We start from the raw sequence: 25403 nt of genomic DNA on the forward strand, positions 1-25403 counted from the left end.
GAGTTGGCTACACAATTGGGATTTGAAATAGAGGGACAGGAAAAGTCTGTTGGAGGTGAAGCAGCAAGACAGGTGGATATCTAGGATAAGAGAATTCGAGGCAGAGAAAACAAGTGCCACGATCTGGAGCCTTGAGCATGCTTGATGTGTCTGGGATGCAGCCTCTGGCCTGTGTGGCTGTGAGAGAAGAAGGGGAGATTAGCAGGCTGTGCAGGGCTGGAAGGGCATTGGAAGGCTTCTGCTCTTGCTGGAGAGCCACTGGAGGATTGGAGCAAAAGAATACCTTGATTGCATTTTAAGGGGTCATTCTGGCCACTGTGTAGAGAACTGATGGGAGGGGACAAAGGCAGAAATGGGGACCAGTAAGTGGGTATTGCAGTAATTCAGGATGGAGATCATGGTGACTCAGACCAGGGCAGCCGTGAAGGTGTTCAGGCTCTGGATATATTTTGAAGTAAGAGCCAACACAACTTCCTGATAGACTGAATGTGGAGTATGTGAGAAAGAGGAAAGACTCCAAAGTTTGTGGCCAAAGTAGTCGGATAACATTGACATCAACTGAGGTGGGTAAGGCAGTGAGTAGAATAGGTTTGAGAACATCACAGGTTCAATTTAGGGCATGTGAGGTATTAGGTATCTGTTAGACATTTGGAAAGACATGTAGAGTAAGCAGTTGAATAAACAAGCCTTGAATTCTAGAGAGATAGCTAGAGACATAAATTTCAGACCCTGGCATATCAATGAGATAAAAACTGTAAAACTGGCTGGACGCGGTGGCTCACGCCTGTAATCCCAGCACTTTAGGAGGCCGAGGTGGGTGGATCACGAGGTCAGGAGATCGAGACCATCCTGGCTAACATGGTGAAACCCCGTCTCTACTAAAAATACAAAAAAATTAGCCAGGCGTGGTGGCGGGCACCTGTAGTCCCAGCTACTCGGGAGGCTGAGGCAGGAGAATGGCGTGAACCTGGGAGGCAGAGCTTGCATTGAGCCGAGATGGCACTCCAACCTGGGCGACAGAGCGAGACTCCATCTCAAACAAACAAACAAAAAAGAAACTAACATTGACTGAGATCAACTGGCTGGTGAGGGTGATAGAGAAGTGGTCAGGGGACTAAGCCCCAGGGCACACCAACTTTAAGAGAGGAAGCAGAGGAATAGAGACCATAGGTAAGAGATAACCAGGGGACGGGTCGCAGAAGGATGTGAGGCAAGCATTTCAGGAAGGACTATCCCCAGCCAAGAGCACTATCTCCAGTCAAATGCTGGGGATAATCTAAGATGAGGAGTGAGAATTGACCACAGAGTTAACCAACATGGAGGTAATTGGGATGTTAAAAAGTAATTTCAGGAGCGGAGTGGCCATAACAGTCTCACTGGAGCAGCTTCGTGAGAATGGGAAGAGCAGAAGCACAAGTGATGACAGCGAATATAGACAACGCTTTAGAAAAACTTGGCTATACATAGTACCCAAGAAATAGGGCAAAAGCTGGAGAGAAAAGTGGCACAAAAAGACCTTTTGTTTTGTTTTGTTTTTAAAAAGATGGAGAAAGAATCATAGCAGGTTTCTGTGCTGATGAGGAGTAGGTAAAGATGCAGATGATGCAGCAGTGAGCTGGGAGAATTGCTGGAGAATGTGCCGGAGAAGGGAGAGAGGAGAGAGGGGGTGAAGGGGGCTCTCATAGGAAGGACTGCATTCCTACATAGGCCCTGGAGGAATGGTTGTGTATGTGGAAGGGGTGGAAGTTTCCCCCTGATTATGTCCATTTTCTCAGTGAAGTCAGAAGCAAGGCCATCAGTGAGGAATGAGGAAATGAGGAGGTTTCCAGAGAGAAAGTGATCTGGAACATGTGTCTAGGAGAGAAGCAAAGTTAATTGACTAGGGATATGTGTGATTGCCACATGTGATTGAAGGCCACTTAAGGTCCGTGGTCATGATGGAAAAAGAGACCCAGCACTAGAATCGCATGCTTTCCCAGCCTCCTTCAGCTGGATGGCTGCAGACACTTACTATGGCACACTTTAAAGTGTAAATCAGATCATGTCACTGCCCTGCTTAAAATCCTTCAGTAGCTTCCACTGCAATTAGAATGAAACCAAACTCTTCACTCAGCCTGCAAAGCCCTGCACACTAGTCTCTACCTACTTCCTAACTCATTGTCAAAGATTACAGCCTTCTTTCCATTTCTGGAACAAGTCAAGTGTGTTTCTGACTTAGCCTTTGCACTACCTGTTTTTTCTGTCTGGATTTACTCCCCTATCTTCCAAGGTTGGCTCTTTATTACCCAGGTTTTATCTTAAATGTTACCTCTCAGAATAGCCTTCTCAGATCCGCCCAGTTGAAAGTAGTCCTTTAGTCACTTACTATCTAATCAGTATACTGGAAATCTCATGGTGATTGTACTCGCTGATAATGTTATTGTAGAACCTAGATCAGTGCCTGGCACATAGTAGATGCTCGATAAATATTTGTTGAATAAATGAATTGGATGGATGGATGAATGAAGAAATGACCACATCAAATTAACTGCTAAAAGTGAAAAGTAAGTTTGCCTCAGAACTGAAATATTTACAAAACATTAACTTGTTTGCTTTCTCCATTTGTGCCCACTTAAGCTGGGGGGAAAAGTAAATCACAGCTGAAACAGCAAATATGGCAAACATCACATCCCATTTTGAGTTTGTAGCTTGCAAGGCAGAAGTTCAAAATAAAATCTTTTCAAATTACATTATTGCAGAAATCTTTTCTGACCTCTCAGCTGAGTCACTGTTTATTTTATAAGAAACTTAACATCCTTGGAAGAATATTCGTTTTTTCAGCTTTTTAGAAATAGGGGTAGAACCCAGCTCCAAATGTAGAGGAAAATGCTAAGCAATGTGTAGTATCATGTTTGAAGTTAACTTGATACTGTAGTTTCCTTTCTTAGAAATAGACATTGGGATTTCTACATCAGGACGGTTACCTTGGTGACAAAAGTTGATTCATTGTTTTATTAACTTGTAAATTCATGAAGGCTCTCTTAACTCAGCAGTGTCCTTCCTCATTCTTCAAGTTCACCTCAGCTTCTGTGCACAAGCAGGTTCCATGGGCTTTCTACCACCTCGCATTTCCTTAACTAATTTGATAACTTACTGTATTTTTTTGTCTCTGACATTTCTCTGTTGGAAACCTTGTTTAACGTATACCCTTTAGATACTTTGGTCAATTTACATAAGCCAGGCTGCTCACATTGTCATTTTAAAAGCTTTTGCCAACCTGTTGGTTCAGCTCAGAAAAGCCTCTGGCTCACTAGTATTGCATGAATAGAAGTTAACCAGGAGGCAAAGGCGGGCAGATCACGAGGTCAGGAGATCGAGACAATCCTGGCTAACACGGTGAAACCCCGTCTCTACTAAAAATACAAAAAAAAAAAAAAAAAAAAAAAAAGCCGGGCGTGGCAGCAGGCGCCTGTAGTCCCAGCTACTTGGGAGGCTGAGGCAGGAGAATGGTGTTAACCTGGGAGGCGGAGCTTACAGTGAGCTGAGCTCATGTCACTGCACTCCAGCCTAGGGGCAACAGAGCGAGACTCCATCTCAAAAAAAAGTTAACCTACCATGTGACGCAGCAATCTTATTACTGAGTATATACCCAAAGGAAAATGAATCATTTTACCAAAAGGACACATGAACCCATACGTTCATTGCATCACTATTCATAATAGCAAACATGTGGAATCAACCCAGGTGTCCATGAGCAGTGGATTGGATAAAGAAAATGTGGTATATATACACCATGGAATACTACACAGCCGTCAAAAAGAACGAAATCATTTGTAGCAATACGGATGGAGCTGGAGGCCATTTTCTTAAGTGAACTAATGTAGAAACAGAAAAGCAAGTACTGTTTGTTCTCACTTATAAGTGGGAGCTAAACATTGGGTACTCATGGACATAAAGAGGCAAAAATAGACACTGAGACGACTGGAGAGGAGAGAGATGGAGGTGGGCAAGGGCTAGAAAACTACCTATTGGGTACTATGTTCACTACCTGGGTGACAGAGTCATTCATACTCCAAACCTCAGCATCATGCAGTAAACCTTTGTAACAAACCTGCACATGTAGCCTCTGATTCTAAAATAAATGTTGAAAAAAAAATTCTGAAAGCACCTTTTCCTTTTTGTCCTCAGTATTGGGCTTCCTCATGGTTTATAGCTAGTAGGGATTACTACTGCTGTAATGACTTTAAAATGTAAAATTGTTTTGCCATCTCATCTTTCATAATTGCCTTTATTTTTGTTCTTCATTACAAACCTTGCAGTTCTCCTATAGTCTGTTTAGAGGTCAACAGTACCTTTGGCTTTTGGTCCTCTCCTAATTTGCAATTTATAACTTTCTTGGAGAGGGTCTGGATTTAAGTTTGAGTAACTGCATGACTCAAAAGTAACAGAAATGTGATTCTTTCAAAAACATTTCCTAAGTCAGAATTTTAATAATTTAGACAGATTCTTTCCCCACCCCAAATTCTGAATTAATAAGTTCTGTTGGGTTTTAGATACCCACATCATATGTTCTTAAGGAATATCTTATTCTGGAAGCCTACTAGAAAGAAAGATTAGATTTTCTTAAGTTCTGTCATTGAATTTTCGTTTGGTTTGCAATTTGATACAATCTGGCAACCCTATATGAAAAAAAGGATTTGAAAGTTCTTAATCTTATACAGAACATTCTGCTTTCAAGTTTGACTTTTTTAAGAGAGTACAATGGGTTGTGATAGTAAGGGAGGCCTATATAGTTTCATTCAATTAATTAATTGCTACTTTCTCCCTGCCTCAATTTTTCAGTTATTTTTGTTCACAATAATTCACAAAATTTTACTTTTTGTGTGTGTGTGCTTTTGAGACAGGGTCTCACTCTGTCACCCAGGCTGAATGCAGTGGTGCAATCACAGCTCACTGCAGCCTCGACTTCCCAGGCTCAGATGATCCTCCTACCTCAGCTTCCTGAGTGGCTGGGACTACAGGCGCAAGCCACCATGCCCAGCTAATATTTTGTGTTTTTGGTAGAGATGGGGTTTCGCCATGTTTTCAGGCTGGTCTCAAACTCCTGGGTTCAAGCGTTCTGCCTGCCCTGTCCTCCCAGAGTGCTGGGATTACAGAGGTGAGCCACTACACCCAGCCACAAAATGTTTAAAGGAATTTTGCTCCCTGAGTTAGTAGATGAGTAGTTCAAAGGTGCATATACACAAAGTGGATTTACCATGAAGCCAACAAAACAAGTTATAAAATTGAACAGTGGATACTTTTTAATCATCTACCAGAAATCAATATTAAGCTAGGTAGGCATTGTAGGAGTTACATAAGAAAGATAATGGACAGAGCATTCCTGGAAACTAAAACTTTATTAATTAACAAGATGAAACCACAAGAGTTCTAGCCAATGCAGTATAGAAGTAAAGAGGGCTAGAAGATATTGAAAATCTAGGACAAAGGATTACTCTCCAGGGCTAGAGCTACTCAGGGCTTCGAGGATGAGTACTTGAGTTGGGTCTGAAAGCATAAGGATGTAGAGCTGAATCTTCAAAGTTAGCTAAAATGTAGGAACAGAAGGAGAAATCAGGAGATTAGAGCCGTGAGCTAGGAGGCCCTCCAGGAAAGAAGATTGTTTCACATGAGCTAAAAGAACTTCAAGAAAGAATAGGTTTGATAGATTAAATGTGGTCAGAAATTCTTTGCCCTTCATCTCATCAAGAGGTTAGGTCTCTTTCTTCACCTGTTGTATCTAGGCTGGCCTCAGGACTTGTGCTGACAATAGAAAGTGGTCAAAGTGATGTGTGTCTTCCTGATGTAAACCTCAGAGAGACTTGCAGCTTCTTTCTGCCTTCACTACCTTGGAAAGTTGCCCTGAGTTTGACATGTGAGGAAGCCACTTTGCCTCCTCAAGGATGAGAAGCCACTGGGGAGGACTGAAGCTCCCCATTGACAGCCAGCACCTACTGCCACCTATGTGATCAAGTCCCATGTGATTGTGGGCCCTCCTGCCCAGGGAGACATGTGAGTGAGCCCAGGCAAAGCAAGCAGAGGCACCACCCAGCCAAACCAAAGAATCATGGGAAATAGTTGTTTTCAGCTGCAACATTTGGGATGCCTTGTTATGCAGCAATGGATAATTGATGTGAAACAGGCATAAGGAAGGATGAGAAATGGAGGAATACCAATAGATTTGGAAGTCATCGGTGTCCTGGCATCTCAGTTATGGAAAAACCTGAATCCATGAGGAATGTTGCCAGTTTACAGGTGGATACATTGGCTTATCAAAGTCTGAGGCCATTGATTATTTAAATCGTGTTTGTAATTGATAGCCTTATTCAGAGTCTAATGCTCACCAAGAAATCCAATCATTTTAACCTCCACTTGGATAGAGCCAGGCAATGCGTTAGTTAGTCCAAGGATATAGCCAGCCTTCCTCACAATTTTATTTCCCATTGTAAATGAATCATTTTCATTTTATTTTTTTGAAAACAGGGCCTCATCTGTATCAAAAAAAATTAGCCTTATAATTTGATATTTACCTTAAGCTTAAACTGGGAGAATTTTTTTCTGCTTTTTCTAAAGTAAAATATTTTAAAATTTAGACCATCTAAAAGTGTATAAAGCACAAAGTGAAAATTTTCCACAATCCTACTTACTATACCCCCAATAAGCCAGGATTAATGGTTAGTTCAATATAAATACACATGCACACATATACCTACTAACAATTCACCTATCAGGTTTATTCTTCCTTCAAGTAAAAGCTGAAGAATCGCTATGCCCACAATATCTGTAATCATACATTTTTCTCTACTGTTTTCAAAGTATTTTTAAAAGAAAATCACAAATTGTGAAAATGTAGTTTCCTCCCATTATATTAAAACCCAACAATAAGTATCCCTGCATTTCTAAATGGAACGACGTAATCCTAGGAAGAGTAACAAGTTCTGCTTCATTCTTAGCCCCTATGTCTCACCTCTTCCCCCAGGACATGGTTTTGGCAATTAGAGCTACTAAAAAAGGAAAGGGAATTTTCTGCCACTCACTTCTAAATTAAATGTTTCACTTCTAAGTTAAATTGTTTAAACAATCTCTCCTTGTGAAATTTTTTAAACCAGTTTTCTAAAAGCCTATTCATATAAGAAACTTATCTTTCTTAAAATTACCTTAAATGTGCAATATTTAGAACAACGGTAGATGGTTAAGCCTGAGAGTTTTTCTGCTAATCTTAGCCTTAGCAAGTGTTTAGGGCACAGAGAAGGAGCTCTAAGTCTGATAGAGATGGAAAGGCTGAGACCCAAGTTCCTAGCCCAGTGTGAACATGGTATATCTACACTTCCGGGACCCACCCCAAACCCCAAACAAAGAAAACCTGTTGGGGGGAGCTAGAGAGGCGGAAGAAGTTCTGAGATGGTGATTGAGTAGAGCTTTAAAATGTTCACCCGTTGGTTGGGGACTGGGTGGGGGAAGCATTGGGGGGTGGTGGGGGATAAAAGACTACAAATTGAGTTCAATGTATACTGCTCCGGTGATGGGTGCACCAAAATCTCACGATCGCCACTAAAGAACTTACTCTGTAACCAAATATCACCTGTTCCCCAAAAACCTATGGAAATAAACTGTTTTTTAAATGAGATAGTTTTAATCAGTAGCACAGAAGATTCACATCCTCTGTACAACAAAATTAGTTTCAGGAAAAAATCAGGTAAAACAACAATAGTAACAGTTTCTTTTTCCGAAAAGAAATGCAGACAGTGAAAATATTAAACTTTGTTCTAGTAAAAATTATTACATTACAAAAAAGGAAAATATGGTTTAATGCTTTTTAATTACAATGATGTATTTTTGTTTTTGTTTCGTATAAAAGGAAAAAACTTGTAACCTTGTACGTACATATTGGTTGGTCATAGTAATGAATAATAGCATTACAGTTTGATGATAATTATAAAAGGCTAACGTTAAAAAACATTCCAATTGTAAAGATTTTATTCAAATTCAGTACAATATTTCATTGATAAGTGAAAATTTGCACTTGCCAATCAAATACATTCACTTTGTAGTTTGAAAAAAAAAAAAAAAGCTTCATTCATTGGGAAGAAATGGTTATTCTTCCTTAGCTGAATCACCCAAATTAAAGACAAAGCAGGGAAATTGGAATTATGCACTGAGACATAGTCTTACGCTAAAGGGAATGTCCTAATCTAATAATATCTAATAATTTCAGATATTATTCCTTTGCTGTATATAAAAGCTGCACTTTTGACCAAAGAGTATTGTTCAGAAACCAATGCATGTAATACTTACACTTTTGCTAGCTCCATTGATATTTGTTCCAAAGAGCATCCCTTTGTCTCAGGTATAAACATAACAACAAAAAGCAGGGATGCTAGACTCATGATTGTATATATAAAGCACACCCATGGCAGGCCAATAAGATCTATAAAGGACAAAAGAAATTGATTAGAAATGTGTTTTGTGTAGCTTTGATCCCATTTGTGAACAGCCACTTAGGGCATACATAGCACCATATGTATTTTCAAACATGCCAGCAGTATCCAGGAAAATAGAAATCACAAATTTAAAATGTAGCCAGCTCTGAAGGTGTTACTTTTACAGACTACCTTAGTTTTCTCTGTTGAAGAAAATAGCAGTCTTGTAACTATCACAATTTACACCCAATGTCATCTTCTTGGTGGGCATGTCTTTCTGTTTCAAAATGGCAATGTGTCTTTATTAATATAAAAAAGCACATGCAAAAAAGGAACCTCAAATAACATGGAAACATATGATGTAGAAGGTAAAATCTCTCTTCTCCCTCTCCACAGTTCCCCTCTTGGGAATCGCCATGGTAGCAGTTTAGTTTCTGTTCGGTGGACAATTTTTTCCCCCTCTTGCTATCATTCCCAATGGTGGACATTTTTAATGACATTTGTACAGATGGATTTTTCTTGGAATGAGCTCACCCTTCTTTGCTCTGATGTGAATAAATCATTTCATGCTGGCAATATTTCATCATTTTTAATAGCTTGCAGTGTATTTGTAATGTTTCTTCCTGGGTTCAGAGAAAAAAGTGATCATGGATCCAGTAAAAGCCATCAACTTGCCAAGATGCATCACAAGAAGCAGGATCCTCAAGATTCTGATGACTCTCATCTGCAAACCTAGTTTTTCCTCTGACCGCTTCCAGCCAAAGATACAGTCCCTTTGTAGTCATGGACCAAGTCAAGGCACATTCAGTGGTCAGCAGTGGCCCCCACAGTGCACTTGAGGCTGCCATTTGCATTGTGGCGGCCCCTGACTCAGCAGCAGAATGTCTAGTGTGGCAAGGAGTAGTCAACTACGAACAACAAGATTTTACAAATAGCCTTTAACAGCTGCAGCCACAAACCACAGTTGGTCAGGCAGGAAAACTGACTGAGCACTTGTGTACTGAGGCAGTGTTTGTAAATGCAGCATGAAAGAATCGAAGCATAGTAACTACTTGTCGGTGAGTTGTGCTGAGGTTGGGAGAAGCAGGAAGGAGGAACCGCACTGCAGTTCTTTTGGCAATTTTAATTAAACTCCTGTCTCTCTCTGCTTTTCTAGCTGGCACAGGGTATGGCCCAACTGATTGCTTAATAAAGTCCTTGTAGAATTGGGTGTCCTTCCTTCTCTGGAGCTTAAAACCAGAATATAGAAATTGTCAAAACCCTAAAGGCTGTCTCATCAAATTGTCCCCAGTTTTGTTTGAGCACTTTGAGTAACAGGGAGCTCACCATTTCACGAAGCCTCTTACTGCCCTGTGAAATAGTTGCGTCTGCTAAAAAGTTATTCCTTGCTTAGATCCTAAATCTGCCTTTCAGAGGCTGTGCTTTGTCCTGTGGAAGGACACACAGTGAATCAGCTCTCCCCACCCCTTCTCCGTGACAGCCATTCAAATATTTGAATGCACCTCAGCCCTCCTCTGAGAATCCCCTTGTCCAAGTCAAACATCCTGAGCTCTTCAACCATTCTTCCCACAGCATAGGTTACTGCCCTCGCCATTCAGGTTGCCCTCCTTCAGCGAACACACTGCAATTTTTAAATGGCCCTCTCGAGATGTTTTACTCAGAGCTGAATGCAATGCTACAATTGTGTCATGATCACTGCAGAGTACATTTGTCTATCTGGAACAGTCTGCTTTTATTGATACAGCTGAAATTGCATAAAAAATGTTGGTGTTTAAGGGCTTACTGCCAAGTAGAACCTCACGTCTTTTAGATCCCTGTGTCCTACACTTGGAAAATTTATTTTTGAAAATAAGTAGGAAATGTCAAGCATTCCAATTAAATGTCATCTAAAGGTTTTAGAGCATTCTAGGCTTTTTGTTTTTAAGTGGATCTGTTTTCCTACATTTGTTCTAAAAGCCCATACGGAACTTCTAAAGCTTCACTAGCTCCTCCAGTGTATTAGCTATAGCCCTCCCAGAGATGTGTGTCATCTTTTCCATCCCTCATCAATTCCATTTTTTCTTTTATATTTCTCTTTCTCCACATCAAATAGCAGATGGAGGGTGTGTGTGTGTTGAGTACGTGTGTGCACATGTGAAGGTTGAGGGCATGTGTTTATGTGTGTGATCTGAGTAGGACCAGTTTCTTTGTTTCCTTTAATCTTGAGCTACTTCTCAAAAGGTAGGATAGGAACATTTGAAAATTTTATATAAAAACCCAAACCACGCTTAAATAGTAACCCCAAAGGTTAATTTCCAAAAGTGGATATACTAAATATATATGTATGTATGTGTGTGTATATGTGTATATATGTGTTTATATATATGCATGCTTTTCAGCAAACATCCATTTTTGAAAATTGTATCTATAAAGACAATATATATGAAATGAAGAAATTAGGTTATTTGTTTCATAGAACTTCCCACAGTCTGGATTTTCTTGATTGTAGTCATGCTGCATGTTCCTCATCTATATATGAAATAAAGAGAAACCGACTCATTGGTCAGTTTTCGTGGATACTGGGGAACTGCCACATTATTTTGAAAACTAGAAAATAAAGAGAAAGTTTCAAGCACGTATTTTACCTTTCTTATATGATCCACACTTCAGGATAGCCAAATAGCTAATGAGAAGAAATTTCTCTTTAGAGAGGTATTTCAGATAAAAATGGAGAAGGAATGACATAATGAGTAGGTCTGGGAAATGATCATCAAAGGAGGCCAACAATGACAAACAGCGAGACAACCAGACCTCATGTGCCTCCTGTTGGCAGTTCACACGGCAGCAGCTGCCACAGAGTTCACCAAAAAATGACATGTAAATCTCCTCAAGCCTCTATCGTTTTTAAAAAAATAAATTTAGGCTTTATTTATTTATTTTAGCTCTATCATTCTTTGTAATCCCCAAAGGGTTTCCCTTCTTACTTTCTTCATGTTTACAAGTTGGAGCTAGGAAAACAAGGCGAATGCTTCTGTTTCTGATTTGATCCCTAATATTGGGTTATTTTATTATAATATATAAATCTAATTTGTGGTTCCTTTAGATAGGGCTGCTGAATGGAACACACAAACAGCCATTTTTTGTTTTGCTTGTAACATTTTTTTATGCCTTGCCTTATTTCCGACATAGGGATCCTCAAATTTTCTATACAATGCAGTTGAATTTCAGGCTTCAGTGGAAAGTAACAATGAGCCTGACCTTATTACAGAATCTCCCTGCCAGGCACAGTGGCTTACGCCTGTAATCCCAGCACTTCGGGAGGCTGAGGCAGGTGGATCACGAGGTCAGGAGTTCGAGACCAGCCTGAGTCAACAAAGTGAAACCCCATCTCTACTAAAAATACAAAAAAATTAGCCAGGCTTGGTGGTGCGCACCTGTAGTCCCAGCTACTTGGGAGGCTGAGGCAAGAGAATCACTTGAACCTGGGAGATGGAGGTTGTGGTGAGCCGAGATCACACCACTGCACTCCAGCCTGGGCAAGAGAGTGAGACTCTGTCTTAAAAAAAAAAAAAAAAAAAAAAAAAAAAAAAAAAGAATCTCCCTTCTGCTGCTCTCTATCCTTAAATTTGATGAGATCCCTTTTGAAAATAAAAGTTTGTTATTATTACAAGCAATTCTGCCTGACACCTAAACATGACTTTTGTTATTGTGGATTGGTTTCTCTTTCTCCTCAAGCCTCTATCTAAATCTAATAGCAATTTACAAGAAACATAAAAGACAGAGAGGAGGGCTAGGCGTGGTGGCTCGTGCCTGTAATCCCAGCACTTTGGGAAGCTGAGGTGGGTGGATCACTTGCGGTCAGGAGTTTAAGACCAGTCTGGCCAACATGGTGAAATCCCTGTCTCTACTAAAAATACAAAAATTAGCTGGGTGTGATGCTGTGTGCCTGTAATCCCAGCTGCTCCAGAGGCTGAGGCAAGAGAATCATTTCAACCCAGGGGCCGGAGGTTACAGTGAGCCGAGATCATGCCTCATGCCACTGCACTCCAGCCTGGGCAACAGAGAGAGACTATCGGAAAAAAAAAAAAAAAACAAAAAAAAAAACAGAGAAACAGAGAGGGGCACGTGACATGACTATAATCAACAAAATTCAGACTGGAAAATTCTATGAAATAAATCATTTGTTTTTTAATAGATTTTTAATTTCTTTAAAAATATAAGGTATAGTGGGGGTGAGGAGATGGAGGAGATGGAGACAAAACCTACAAATTATGACATATTTCAGTGACTTGTAAGTTATGTATTTGGGTCATGATTCAAATCATGTATAAAAAGCAATTATAAGACAATTAAAACATGAACACAGACTAGGTGTTTGATACTATGGGATGATTATATTTTTAAGTGTGATAATGACATTGTAGTTATATGTTTTTGAATGTCAAAGGTCTATGCTGAAATTTTTCAGAAAAAACAACATTGCATATGGGATGTGACTCAAAATAATTGGGTAGGGGAAGAGCAGGTGGGGTTATAAATAGATTTACATTCAAAACTGTAAATTGGGTCATGGGTACTTCAGGGTCATGGCCGTTCTCCTTCTAAGTGTGTTTGAAAATTTCCACGAAAAAATGGTCTTTAGGTGGGTGTGATTCCCTAACATTTGTCCTACGAGGACCAAAGACATTAGAGGAAAACAAAGACTTCTTACCAGTTACAGTCAAAAATGTCAGCGAGATGAGGAGATTGATGCCCCAGTTCATGCTAGAAGTTAAAGCCATGGCTCGTCCTCTGATCCCACCAGGAAAGATCTCGCTGAGCACCAGCCAGGGCACTAGAAGAAAGGCAAGAGTGGGTGGCGGACAGCACATTTAGCAAAAACCCATTGAATCTGAGTGCCAGCACCCTGATCTCTCCCTGCCCTCATCCTGCCGGGATTTGTGGTTGGGAAGCACCATTTCCTACCTCAGCAGAACAGGACAGTAAAGGGACGTGCTGCCTCCTCACCTCCAGCCAAGGAAGAAAGGATTCACAGAAACATTAGGAGAGCTGGGCCATGGTCCCCATGCATAGGGTGAGGGGCATGAGGTGCTGGTATCTGTCACAGGCCCAAGAAATGCAAACCGCAGGGGCAGAGGTGGGGCCACCTGCCTGGCAGCAACAAGAGAGCCAGCTCTGGACATCTGCCAAGCACAGAAGCCTCAGTGCCAGAGCCCAGGTGTACCTGCTGTAGGACTGGGCTGTTTCCTCAGCTCTCTCCCCCTGACCTTGGAGGAGTCAGAAATCACAGCTAATGAGTGGGTAGGAAATGGAGCCAGGTGGGCATGAGGAAGCCGGCTACTCTCCCTTCTCTGACTTGGGCGTCCTGGCCTGAAGCAAGCTGGATGGAGAGAAGTTCTAAATTAAATAGAGCTCCAAGATTTGATTATTGTACCAGACTAAACATTTGAATTTCTAGAAGGAGAGTCTTATTGGCACCAAAACTCATCAGAGGACTTTTTATTATCTGAGAGTGACAGGGAACATTATGGGGCTTGCCTGATGGGATCAGATGGGGCAATAAAGGAGCAAATTAACTTGTCTTCTGCTCACAGCCTATCAAGCCCAGTTTGCCTAATAAAAAACAGCCAGAAGTTCTTACTGTGGGCTTTTACAAACATTTTTACAACCTCATCTCATTTGATCCTCACAAACCCCTACAAGGTGGGAACTATTACGAAACCTCTTTTATCAAAGAGGAAACTGAGGCTTAGAAGAGTTACTTGCCAAGGTCACAGAGCACTTAAGTGACAAACGTGGCATTATCCCTAGTAGTCTCTGGAATTCATGCTTTTTTGTCATTGTGCTTTATTGATAGTGACTCAATAAATATTTATTAATTAATAAATACATGTCAAGTGTAAGCATCTTTGATTCAGTGGAAAGAAGGCCTTTGGCCCTGCCCCAGCTCAGGCTCACTGTTGGCTGATTCACTGTGTTTCAGAAGACCAGCTCTGATTTATCAACCAATTACATAATTTTATCCCAGAAGAGGGGATGGGAAGAAGAAACTAGAAGCCAGGGAGAGGCCGCTCTGGCCAGCAACCACCTGGGCTGCCTATGCCAGAATCCAGCAGTCAGCCATGCCTCTAACTTAAAATTTGCCTCTCCTGACAAGATTATGCCCTGTAGAAAAAACATCTGCTGGCTGTAAATTTGCTGCTTTAAAAGAAGAAAAAACTAAATTGGATTGCAGAAGACTGGAAAAAATCTATTTTTTTCTTACATTCTCCAAGTGAATCTATACAGGGTTACCTTTCATGCATGGAAGATAATTATAATAAAAAGTAGCGTAATTATTATTGTTGTTCTTATTAATGGGGAATTCAAAACTAGGAAACCGCATGTCTGCCACACTCTCACCTCACCTGTCTTCCCCTGCCCCTCTCCATGCTAAAAGACCTTCACTAGATTCTTGCAGATTATATCGTTGGTGGAATCGCTTTACTTTTAATGAGACCAGTTTAGTGCTCAGGTAACCCTGTCTTGAGCTTTGCAAGACTGAAGATCCAGCTCTGAGTAGACTGATATCTGCATAATTCTGGTGAAGCCTTTGTAATGAAGACCTGTCCTCGGACAAATGCAAGATAAAATTATATAAATCCGATTTTGAAGCTAAATAATATATGCCACGGACCAACCTCCCTATACCCTTTCCTGGCATGGGTATTCGATGCTGGCCAGGTGAAGCTGAGGGTCCCTACAACCATTTGCTTTAACAGCCATGAGGAGGAGGTGGGGTAAAGGGCACTCTCATTTTCTTTTAGTAGAGGAGATAGCTCAGGGTTTCTTCTTCCAGCTTCCATCTTCACCTCGTCACCTTTCAAACCTCCTTCTTCCCCTCCTCATCTTTCATCATGGTGGCCTTGATTATTTAGTGAGATTTGGGGAGAATCATTGCTGGGCTCATCAGAACCACCTTGGCCTCAAATGAAAATGAGTTGATCCTGCTGTGATAGAAAGTGGACCTCGCCAACAAGAAGATGGGACAGTTGCACAAAACACCAGTTTTATGTGCTCAGTCTGAACTGCCAGGGGCTTGTCTAGAAAAACTCGAGATCCACATTGCAAGCCTGTCCTAGATATTCATTCAATATAGCAGCTAAGCCAAGTCCTCCAGTAGTTTCACCAGTCAGTGAGCAGTGAGTTGAATATTGAAAAAGAGGCTTCCCTCAGTCTCTGTTCGAAAGGAAACTTGTCAAGCAAGCCCTACACCTGATGCTTCCAAAAATAACTGTATTGTTGCTGAAAGAGTCTACTTCTTTTTTGATTGAATGAAGGAATTAAAGAATTGATGGCTTGGTTTATCTAATATTGACAAACTGGATGTCACAAAAATTGACAAATGTTTTGACAATTTGACAAGGATGGCTCAACCTCCCAATGTGGAGCCTGTCAAGTTAAAAATAAGAATATTGAGCCTGTAATCCCAGCACTTTGGGAGGCTGAGGTGAGAGGATTGCTTGAGCTCAGTAGTTACAGACCAGCCTGCACAACATAGCGAAATCTTGTCTCTACTTAAAATAATAAATAAAATAAAATAAAATAAAATAAAATAAGCCAGGTGTGGTGGCACATGCCCGTAGTCCCAACTACTTGGGAGGCTGAGGCAGGAGGATCACATGAGCCCAGGAGATCAAGGCTGCCCTAAGCTATGATCATACCACTGCACTCTAGCCTGAGCAACAGAGTGAGACCTTGTCCCTCACCCCAATAAAGAGAGAATATTATTTAAACAATGATTCCAGATTGTAAAATCACAGGTTTTCAGCTCCAGAGAAAGGGAAATACAAATCTGAAAGTATCATGTGCAGCAAGATAGACTCACTGAAAGGGTCAGAGTCTTTCCATGGCTGACCTAGAAGCAAGACAGTGCCAGAATCTCACCAATCTTGATGTTCTCTGGAAAGATGCTTTCAATACCTAAAGCAGAAGCAGTGGAGAAACTCAGTTTCAGTTCATAAGTAAGGACTGAAACTCTTATTCATTCATAGGAGGTATGAATCATTACATGGGGATTTGATGTGTTTATGTTTATAATAACAGGTGGGAGTTTTCTTAAAATCACTAATTCCTTTTCCCAATGAGATGGCCCAATTTCTCCCCAAGGAAAATTAAATTATTGCCACAGGGGAGGGCTCCCTTTCACTACCACAGCAAAAAAGTAGTGGCTCTCTCTGGGAATCTTCTTTATTCCCTACCCCGATGACAGGCCAAAAGGGGATGCACATTGTCCTATTTGTGCATCAGGAATCCACAGAGCACTTGTAACAGAGACACAGTGAACTCTTCTACAGTGAGCGCAGCCACTGGAGTTCAGCAGGCACGAAAATTATTCTCCTTGACTCCTATTACTCCACTTTCAATCCCATCGTTTGAGGACCGCCTCAGCAATTCGTACTCTTACAAATGTCAGGGTCTGCATGAATCTTGAAGGTCTTGTCTATGTTGCAATAATGGAGGAAGTTTTGGACTTGTGGGGGGGCGGAGGTGTGGTGATTGTTTACAGAGATGAAACTCATATTTCACATGGTATTAAATCATCAAGGCTGCCTATCAGAACTTGCCTGATCCAGATGAAATCCACAGACAGCGTGCTTATGGCTACACAGAGTGTCATAAAAAGATCATGAAGGGCAAGTTCGTTGAAGTCTCTCTGTCTCCGGTTGAGGACATGGACTTGGATTCATAGGGGTATTCAATGGAAATGGCAGCCCTGACACTTGTGTGTTTCCCCCTCCTACCTATTTCAGGTTCCTGCCCCAGTTTTTCCCACAGAAACTGTCATTTAACCTTCTATGCCTTCAGATTTAAATTCTACAGCTCTCCAGGCACACTTTCTGTTTGGCTTGAGTCCTTCCTAAACCACCTGGCATGCTAGCCCAGGGTTTGAAAGGCTCACAGAGGTCTTGAAAATCTTGCCAGAGAACTCCTAACAATTTGGAGGAAGCTCTACACTCAGACTGCAGAGTTTTCAACAACTTGATTTGCAAAGGAGCCATGCCCTATACTTTGTAGGAGTGAAAAATCCTTGGTTTTTATTGCCTTTGTAAGCGGCACACCTACCTCTCTGACTGCAAAGGAGTAATTCAAATGTGAATTTGAGAGGGACTGTGCCCATCCCTTCCAAGCAGATGTTTAAATTCTGGCCTCATAAGTTGCCCAAGTGGAAAAATTGGGTTCTTTAAAAATAAGTATACGACCAGGTGTGATGGTTCACTCCTGTAATCCTAGCACTTTGGGAGGTCGAGGCAGGTGGATCGCTTGAGCCCAGGAGTTTGAGACCAGCCTGGGCAATGTAGTGAAACCCCGTCTCTATAAAAAAATACAAAAATTAGCCAGGTGTGGTGATGTGTGCCTGTAGTCTCAGCTACCCAGGAGGCTGAGGCAGGAAGATTGAGCCTGCAGTGAGTGATCTTTGAATTTTAAAATCAAATTAAAAATATGATCTTAAATTGAAATTTCTTTTTATTTACTCTAAGAGCTTCCAAGAGTTTTTCTGAATTAAGTTATTAACAGGAGATCGAGGCTGCAGTGAGCCATGATCACGCCACTGCACTACAGCCCAAGTGTCAGAGTGAGACCCTGTCTCAAAAAAATAAATAAATAAAACAAAAATAGGCCAGGGGCAGTGGCTCATTCCTGTAATTCCAGCACTTTGGGAGCCCGAGGTGGGCAGATCACCTAAGCTCAGGAGTTTGAGACCAGCCTGGCCAGCATTGTGAAACCTCATCTCTACTAAAAATACAAAAAATTAGACAAGCGTGGTAGACAAGCCTGTAGCCCCAGCTACTTGGGAAGCTAAGGCAGGAGAATCGCTTGAGCCCAGGAGGTGGAAGTTGCAGTGAGCCGAGATCACACCACGGCACTCCAACCTGGGAGACAGAGCTAGGCTGCCTCCCCCAAAATAAATAAATAATAAATAAATAAACCCCACTATAGGATAGCATCCCCAACATTGGCAGTGATGTGGTTGCTTTAATTTCTTGTTCTTTTTTGTATTCTCAGTCTCCCTGAGTCATATCCACTCATGGCCTTTTGTAAAAGAAATACTTTTTCAAGAATATTATCTTGGATTACTTAAATTACAAACTAAAAAAGGCAATTAAATAAAGGCTCAATGTTCTCTAATCTTTCTGTCCTAAAGATTTCTAGTCAAAACCAACTGAAATGATTTTTCAAAAAAATATACTAAGGGAAATTGGACTAAATGGAATAAGCCTCAATAATGAATGCTGGAGTTAAAAATGGAACTCTTTTGTGAGCAGGCACCAATTGGGGATAAGAGAGAACTATGGCAGTGGTCTTCAAACTCTCTTGCTTGTGTGGCCTGGAATTTTAATAACTATTTTCTTTAATTTATAAGCCAACAGCTAACATTTTTTCACCATAAATTTAAATAATAGCAAAGGATGCAATTTATATTGTATTTAAATTCTAACATTTAAAGTAGAATAGTTATATTACTCTTTTAAATGTTTCCTGTGGAACTCAAATACCATACCTATTTGATAGCCATTGTCATCCATTTAAAAAATTTAGGAACAGGCCAGCGCAGTGGCCCACTCCTACAATTCCATTGCTTTGGGAGGCTGAGGAAGGAGGATCCCTTGAGGCCAGAAGTTTGGGAAAAGCCTGGGCAACATAACTAGGCTCTGTCTCTACAAAAAATTTTTAAAAATATAGCCAGGAATGGTGGTGCATGCCTGTAGTCCTAGCTACTCAGGAGGCATAGGCAGGACGATGGCTTGAACCCAGAAGTTTGAGGATGCAGTGAGCTATGATCAATCACACCATTACACTCCAGCCTAGGCAACAGAGCAAGACCCTGTCTCTTAGAAAGTAAATAAATAAATAGTATAAGAACAAGGTATTTAATAGAAAGTTTACATTGTTTCTTTTTCACTTGAACTTAGTATTTTACTCTACTGTACTGCATTTTTAAGCTGGAAAGTCTTTTATTGATCATCCCATCATACATCTCTCAAAAAAACTATGACCTTAGGCCGGGCATGGTGGCTCATGCCTGTAATCCTAGCTACTTGGGAGACTGAGGCACAAGAATTGCTTGAACCCTGGAGGTGGAGGTGGAGGTGGAGGTTGCATCATTGCACTCCAGCCTGGGTGACAAGAGTGAAATTCTGTCTCAAACAATAATATTAATAATAATAATAATGTTTTAAAATATGACTTTAAATTGAAATTTTTTTATTTACTCTAAGAGCTTCTAAGAATCTGTGTGAATTAAGCTATTAGCATAATAATTACTATAAATGGATCAAAATTATAGAAATATCTTACATATTTTAGAAATGATTGTTAAACAGGAAAAATGAAAATATATTGGAAATACCTCTCAATGAGATGGATGGGGAGTTTTTTTCTTTATTTTGTATCTGTGGTTGAATGTCACTTATTTCTAGAATAACATGATACATTTCTACTTTTTAAATGGATGAAAATGATTGTTCTCAAGATTAATTAAAATATGGGGAGTTGAAAAAATTTTGTTAATAGCAATGTCACTTAATTCTTTAAGTAAAACAGAAGTTATTTGTAATAATATAGTGCTGATAACTTGATTAGATTATCCTTTATTTTTTGTTGAAAGCAAATTATTGGAAATAGCTTGACTTATAAAATGATGATTATCTAGGCTTTAGACTCATTTTTGAACAGCTACACCAATATTTCCAGTTGTGTTTTTAACTAGCATTCTTAGGTTTTTACAATTTTGAACATGTATCAAAATAATATTTCTGGTAGTAACAAGTGTGCTTTCTTTTAAGTGGGAGAACAGCTATAACTGGGGAGATGGGGAAGGAGAAATATCAAGAAACAGATTTTTTTGAACCTGAATCTCTGGAAATTGATTTGCTTTGAATTATCATGGAAGGAGTGCGCTTCAGAAAGTAAACTCCCTAGAGCAGTGGTCCCCAACCTTTTTGGCACCAGGGACTGGTTTTGTGGAAGACAATTTTTCCACAGACGGGGGCAGGAGGTATGGTTTCGGGATGATTCAAGTACGTGACGTTTATCATTAGATTCTCATAAGGAGCATGCAACCTACATCCCTCGCATGGGCAGACACTAGGGTTTGCCCACCTATGAGACCTTAATGCTGCAGCTGATTAGACAGGAGGTAGAGCTCAGCTTCACTTGCTCACCCATAGCTCACCTCCTGCTGTGCAGCCGGGTTCCTAACAGGCCACAGACCTGTACTGGTCCAGTCCATGGTCCAGGAGTTGGGAACCCCTACCCCGGAGCATGCATACCCCAATATGCAGACCACTGAACTAAAAGTTCAAAATACCAAGCCAAAAAGGAAGGAGCTGCAAGAAATTAGTCTTTTCTAGTTTGTACTACAACTTGAATGTCATGGCTTCGGAGATCATATTTGATGTTGTACATTTTTCATTATTGATACTTTAATTAGAAATGTATTATAGTTTTAAATGTTGCAAATTATCCTTGAAAAATCCTTAACACTGAGTCATGGAAAACAGTAAAGTAACACGTGAATACTTGTGTTTATTAAGATAGTATTAAAGCCTTAGCCTGACACTTTAACATCTTTTACAGTCCAATATTTATCATTTTCAAGGTCATAGAACTGTAATTGGAGTATAGACTGAGAGATAAGTTAAACACTGACGTATTATGTGAGCAGTTGCCCATGGTGACAGGACTGATGGTGTCATTTTGCTGTACTTCTTGCTGTGGTTATGCTACAAAAATGTAGTTTTAAACTCTAGTTCTATTAGATACTGCTGCTGCATCATCTAACTCCGAGGGGAAAACAGGATTTAATTAGCTAAGTGCATCTAGTTCTTTAAGTTTTTCCTGGTTGTTTGGATGCAAAGTTAATACAGAACCACATGAATGCTGTTTTCCATATAATAATTCACCATTCCCATCACCCTAAATGACCTTTGACTTAATTAGTTGAGAAAAAGGAACAGTGTTTGTGTAAATATTGGTGATAACTGAAATTTAAGATTTAAAGGGAAAAACAAGATTTGAAAGATCTTAAAGGTAGATGCACAACATAAACTCACATGACTATTATTGTATAATGGCTACATTTAATAACAAAACTCTCCTGTTAACACTTTTACACTGTTGGAAGCATGTGGGGGATGGGGACCAACACACACACTGGGGCCTATCGAAGGAGTGTGTGGGGGGAAGGAGAGCATCAGGAAGAATAGCAAATGGATGCTGGGCTTAATACCTAGGTGGTGGGTTGATCTGTGCAGCAAACGACCATGGCACACGTTTACCTATGTAACAAACCTCCACATCCTGCACATGTACCCCTGAACTTAAAAGTTGGAAATAAATATATATTTAAAAAATAAATAACCCTCTCCTGTTCAAAAAATAACAATGTCTGAAATTGCCTTTTCTCTGAAGATATGTAATTATCCCATAAGAATGGTGGAAGAGGAAGATGAGCAGAGAAAAAGCCTTTGACTGTGGTGGTTCTGCGTGTTAGGGACCTGGAGCCTTGGAGGAAATCTGAAGAATACCAGAATCTTTTTTGAAACACCTGTGCTTCTGCAATGTCAGCCTCTTTGCCTTAAACCCAGTAGGTCTTGAAATGAAGCCACTAGGTAAACTTCCAAATTAGAACCTGCTGCTCCACATCCTTGGAGCTGTCATAATCTTTAGCTGTGCAAATATCCAATGAACAAAATTTTTAAGAGCCAGAGTTATTTGTTTAAATCTAAGTTTAAATTTTACGGCAGATGACTCATGCTTCCAACATTGATACCCACCCTCCAATAGGCTGGTTCAGCTCCATAAAACCAAACAGAGCAAAAAGCTAGGCTCTATGGTCTTTGAGTTTTTCAAAATTCTAGTTTGTTGTTTCGAATAGAAAGAAAGACATTTGAGTTTTAGGATATTTGGGTTGGGAGCCAGTTCTCCGTAGGTCTCTCACATTTCTTCATGTCTTATGGGAAAAGGCACTGACTGTCTTTGCTCTAGGCTGTCTTTCCAAGGCTGTTTGTATAATAGCCTTGTTGTAGGCTGCATAATAAATAGTCTTGGAGATAGAGATAGTGTCACCCTCTGGAGCAGAGGGCAAGTTTGTTGACTGTCCGATAAAGATAACATCTCCTAGAAAAAATAACAAAAGAAAAAATAAATAAATAAATAAATAAATAAGATAATGTCTCCATCCAGGGAAGACATCCGGGTAGCTTACTCTCTATTATGAAAAATGTGGGTTTGCTAGGCTGGGGTGTTCCCTCAAAAAAAAAAATTATGTGCAGGTGTCATCTGGCCCCCTTCATGTTGACCTGTACTGGGGCTAGGAGAACCTGGGCAAGTGTTGATATTCTGGCTATTGCTTTGCTATAGATAATAAACTGCCCTTTGTCTCTGACCAAGGAATCTTGTGTTTTTTGTCAACATCATTAAACTGTGACAGGTTAACTTGTTGATATTCTAGCTATTGCTTTGCTATGGATAATAAACTGCCCTTTGTCTCTGACCAAGGAGTCTTGTGTTTTTTGTCAACATCATTAAACTGTGACAGGCTAACTTGTTAGCTTGCAAATGGGGTAAAATCTCAGCCCCTTATGGTTATCAACAGTTTGATTACTTGTGGCTATGGTATGATTTTTCTACAAAGATCTTTTAGTACTATTATCAACTTTAGATTGCCCATTCACATCTGAGAGATTTAATGTGATTCTTAAGGCTGAGATAATCTATTGAAATATTTCTATAACCTCTAATGTTTAATTAGGTAAGCAAAAACACTTCCCTCCCAAATTCCAGGTTTAGATTGTCACATATTTCTCTTAGGAAAACCATGAAGGAATTTCCTCCAATCTTTTTGGTAAAAAGTTTAAATACATTCAATTACATGAAACCAAGGTAGGAATAATTATCCTACCTTGGATGGGCTATTCTCAATCTTTTTCTCAGAGGAAGCTGGGTCTCATATTTGGAGAAAAACATGGAAAAACTTAAAATAAATTTTGTCTAACACTGTACATTTTTTTAAATGGCCTTCATTTTAGTGAATCTAAAACATGAAACTTTTTCAGTCACCAAATATTGCAGATGGCCTTGCATACTCAATTTAGTAGCTTTACTCAGAAATAATTTTTGGCCAAATGTGTGTGAGGTTCCACACAAGCCACATTCACCTCTCATTCCCTGGATATTGGGTCAGAGTCATACCAGAGGACATCAAGATATCCAGTCCCAGACTAGGGAGCTCCCCCTTAATTATGGAAGCTGAAAGAGTTCTAGAAAGAATTTTTTGATTCATCCAACAAATATTTATTGAGCCCCAGTTGTAGGCCAGGTGCCATGTTAGGCCTGGAGAAGCCAATGTGAACAGGGCAGAGTTGATGTTTGCACAGGATATATAGTCTAAATTCGTTGCACCAACTTAGAAGAGTGGACATTTAGGCCGGGCACGGTGACTCACGCCTGTAATCCCAGCACTTTGGGAGGCCGAGGAGGGCGGATCACAAGGTCAGGAGATCGAGACCACCTTGGCGAACACGATGAAACCCTGTCTCTACTAAAAATACAAAAAAAATTAGCCAGGCGTGGTGGCGGGCGCCTGTAGTCCCAGCTACTCGGGACGCTGAGGCAGGAGAATGGCGTGAACCCGGAAGGCGGAGCTTGCAGTGAGCCGAGATCGCGCCACTGCACTCCATCCAGCCTGGGCGACAGAGCGAGACTCTGTCTCAAAAGAAAAAAAAAAAAAAGAAGAGTGGACATTTGTATGTTTCTCAGCCTATATCTCACCTTTCATCTTTCACCAAAGCTTCATGATTCTCTGTAAAACCTGTCTGGTTTCCTAGGAAGCCCTCTGGACTGCAGGTGACCTAGGATTGAACTATGTTTCTCAAAGCCACAATCCGGTCTCTGTGGTCCTGACTCAGCTGGATTTATGTGTAGAGGGAGGGAAAGAAGACCACAGCATCGTAAATCAATAAAGGGCTTTAAGCACATCCTATGTGTCCCAGAGTGACTTAAGCAAAATGCCTGTTGAAGTCAGTGCTGGCATTATCAGAACTGTTCACCTCATGTCTAGACCACAGCCAGACATTTAATAACACTAATGACTAAGTGTACTAAGTCCATGCCACAAACCATGCACTGAACTAGGGGCACTTTATACAGATTCCTTCATTTAACTCGACAGGCCATCAAGTGGATACAATTGCCCTGTTTTCTAGATAAAACTGAAAGCTAGAGAGATCAATGGACTTGCCCTAAGTCCTGCATGGTGGTGCTGGATTCAAGGCCAGGCAGTCCAATACCAAAGCCTGGTCCACATTCAAACACAATGGCTTTCTTGCAGCTCTCCTCACCCTTCAAGCTCATGTCCTCAAAGCCATCTGACCTGCCATTAGCCCTGCTTCAAGACCCCCTCCTCCAAGATTGTCACACTGCCTTCTTCATACAAACGTTGGCCCAAATGTTACCACCTCAGAAATGTCTTCTGTCACTATCATATCGGAAATAACCCTCCTCCAAGCATGCCCTTTCACTTACCCTCTTTTATTTTTCTTTATCACTCTTACCTCCACCTAAATTTTAACACTTCTGTCTCCTGAAACTGTATCATAGGTGTGTTCATTTTTTTTTTCTTTTCGTCTGTCCCTATCACTGGTTCGTGAAAATAAGATGTGGATCTCCAGCACCTGGTACTGTGCCTGCCATGTTGTGGGTGAGCAAGACACATGTGCTGGATGTGTGAGTGAATCAATGAATCCCTACCACTTCTCTATCTTCTCCTCTTCCTCACTCCAAGATGTTTTCTGGCTGGAATTTCTGCCCATTTGAGTCCTCAGAGTTGGTAGAAGAGATCAGGGGAGGTTATTTGGTGTCATCTGTCACTTGAATATGTGAATACAAAGGTAGCTGAAGGATGACAGTCGCAGCTTTATCACCTAACTTCGTATGTGACCT

General features: G+C 40.6%; 1 protein-coding gene and 1 pseudogene across 3 annotated transcripts in view; one reads left to right on the forward strand and one right to left on the reverse strand.

Annotated features, from left to right (window-relative positions):
- SLC2A12 (solute carrier family 2 member 12) overlaps positions 1-25403 on the reverse strand; it is a 65044-nt gene that overhangs the window by 6103 nt on the left and 33538 nt on the right. The window contains exons 3-4 of one of the 3 annotated variants that reach the window (NM_145176.3): positions 13129-13251; positions 8314-8446 (exon numbers count right to left, since the gene is read on the reverse strand). In NM_145176.3, the coding sequence (NP_660159.1) occupies positions 8314-8446; positions 13129-13251 (256 nt within the window). Of the gene's footprint in view, positions 1-8313; positions 8447-13128; positions 13252-16280; positions 16380-20967; positions 22581-25403 lie in introns of those variants that run through there. The other 2 variants (XM_017010311.3, XM_006715349.5) reach the window with 2 other exon arrangements.
- On the forward strand, positions 15325-15864 carry LOC100421250 (epithelial splicing regulatory protein 1 pseudogene; annotated as a pseudogene).

The sequence above is a fragment of the Homo sapiens genome, chromosome 6 (genome assembly GCF_000001405.40).
Source record: "Homo sapiens chromosome 6, GRCh38.p14 Primary Assembly".
Lineage (NCBI taxonomy): Eukaryota > Metazoa > Chordata > Mammalia > Primates > Hominidae > Homo > Homo sapiens.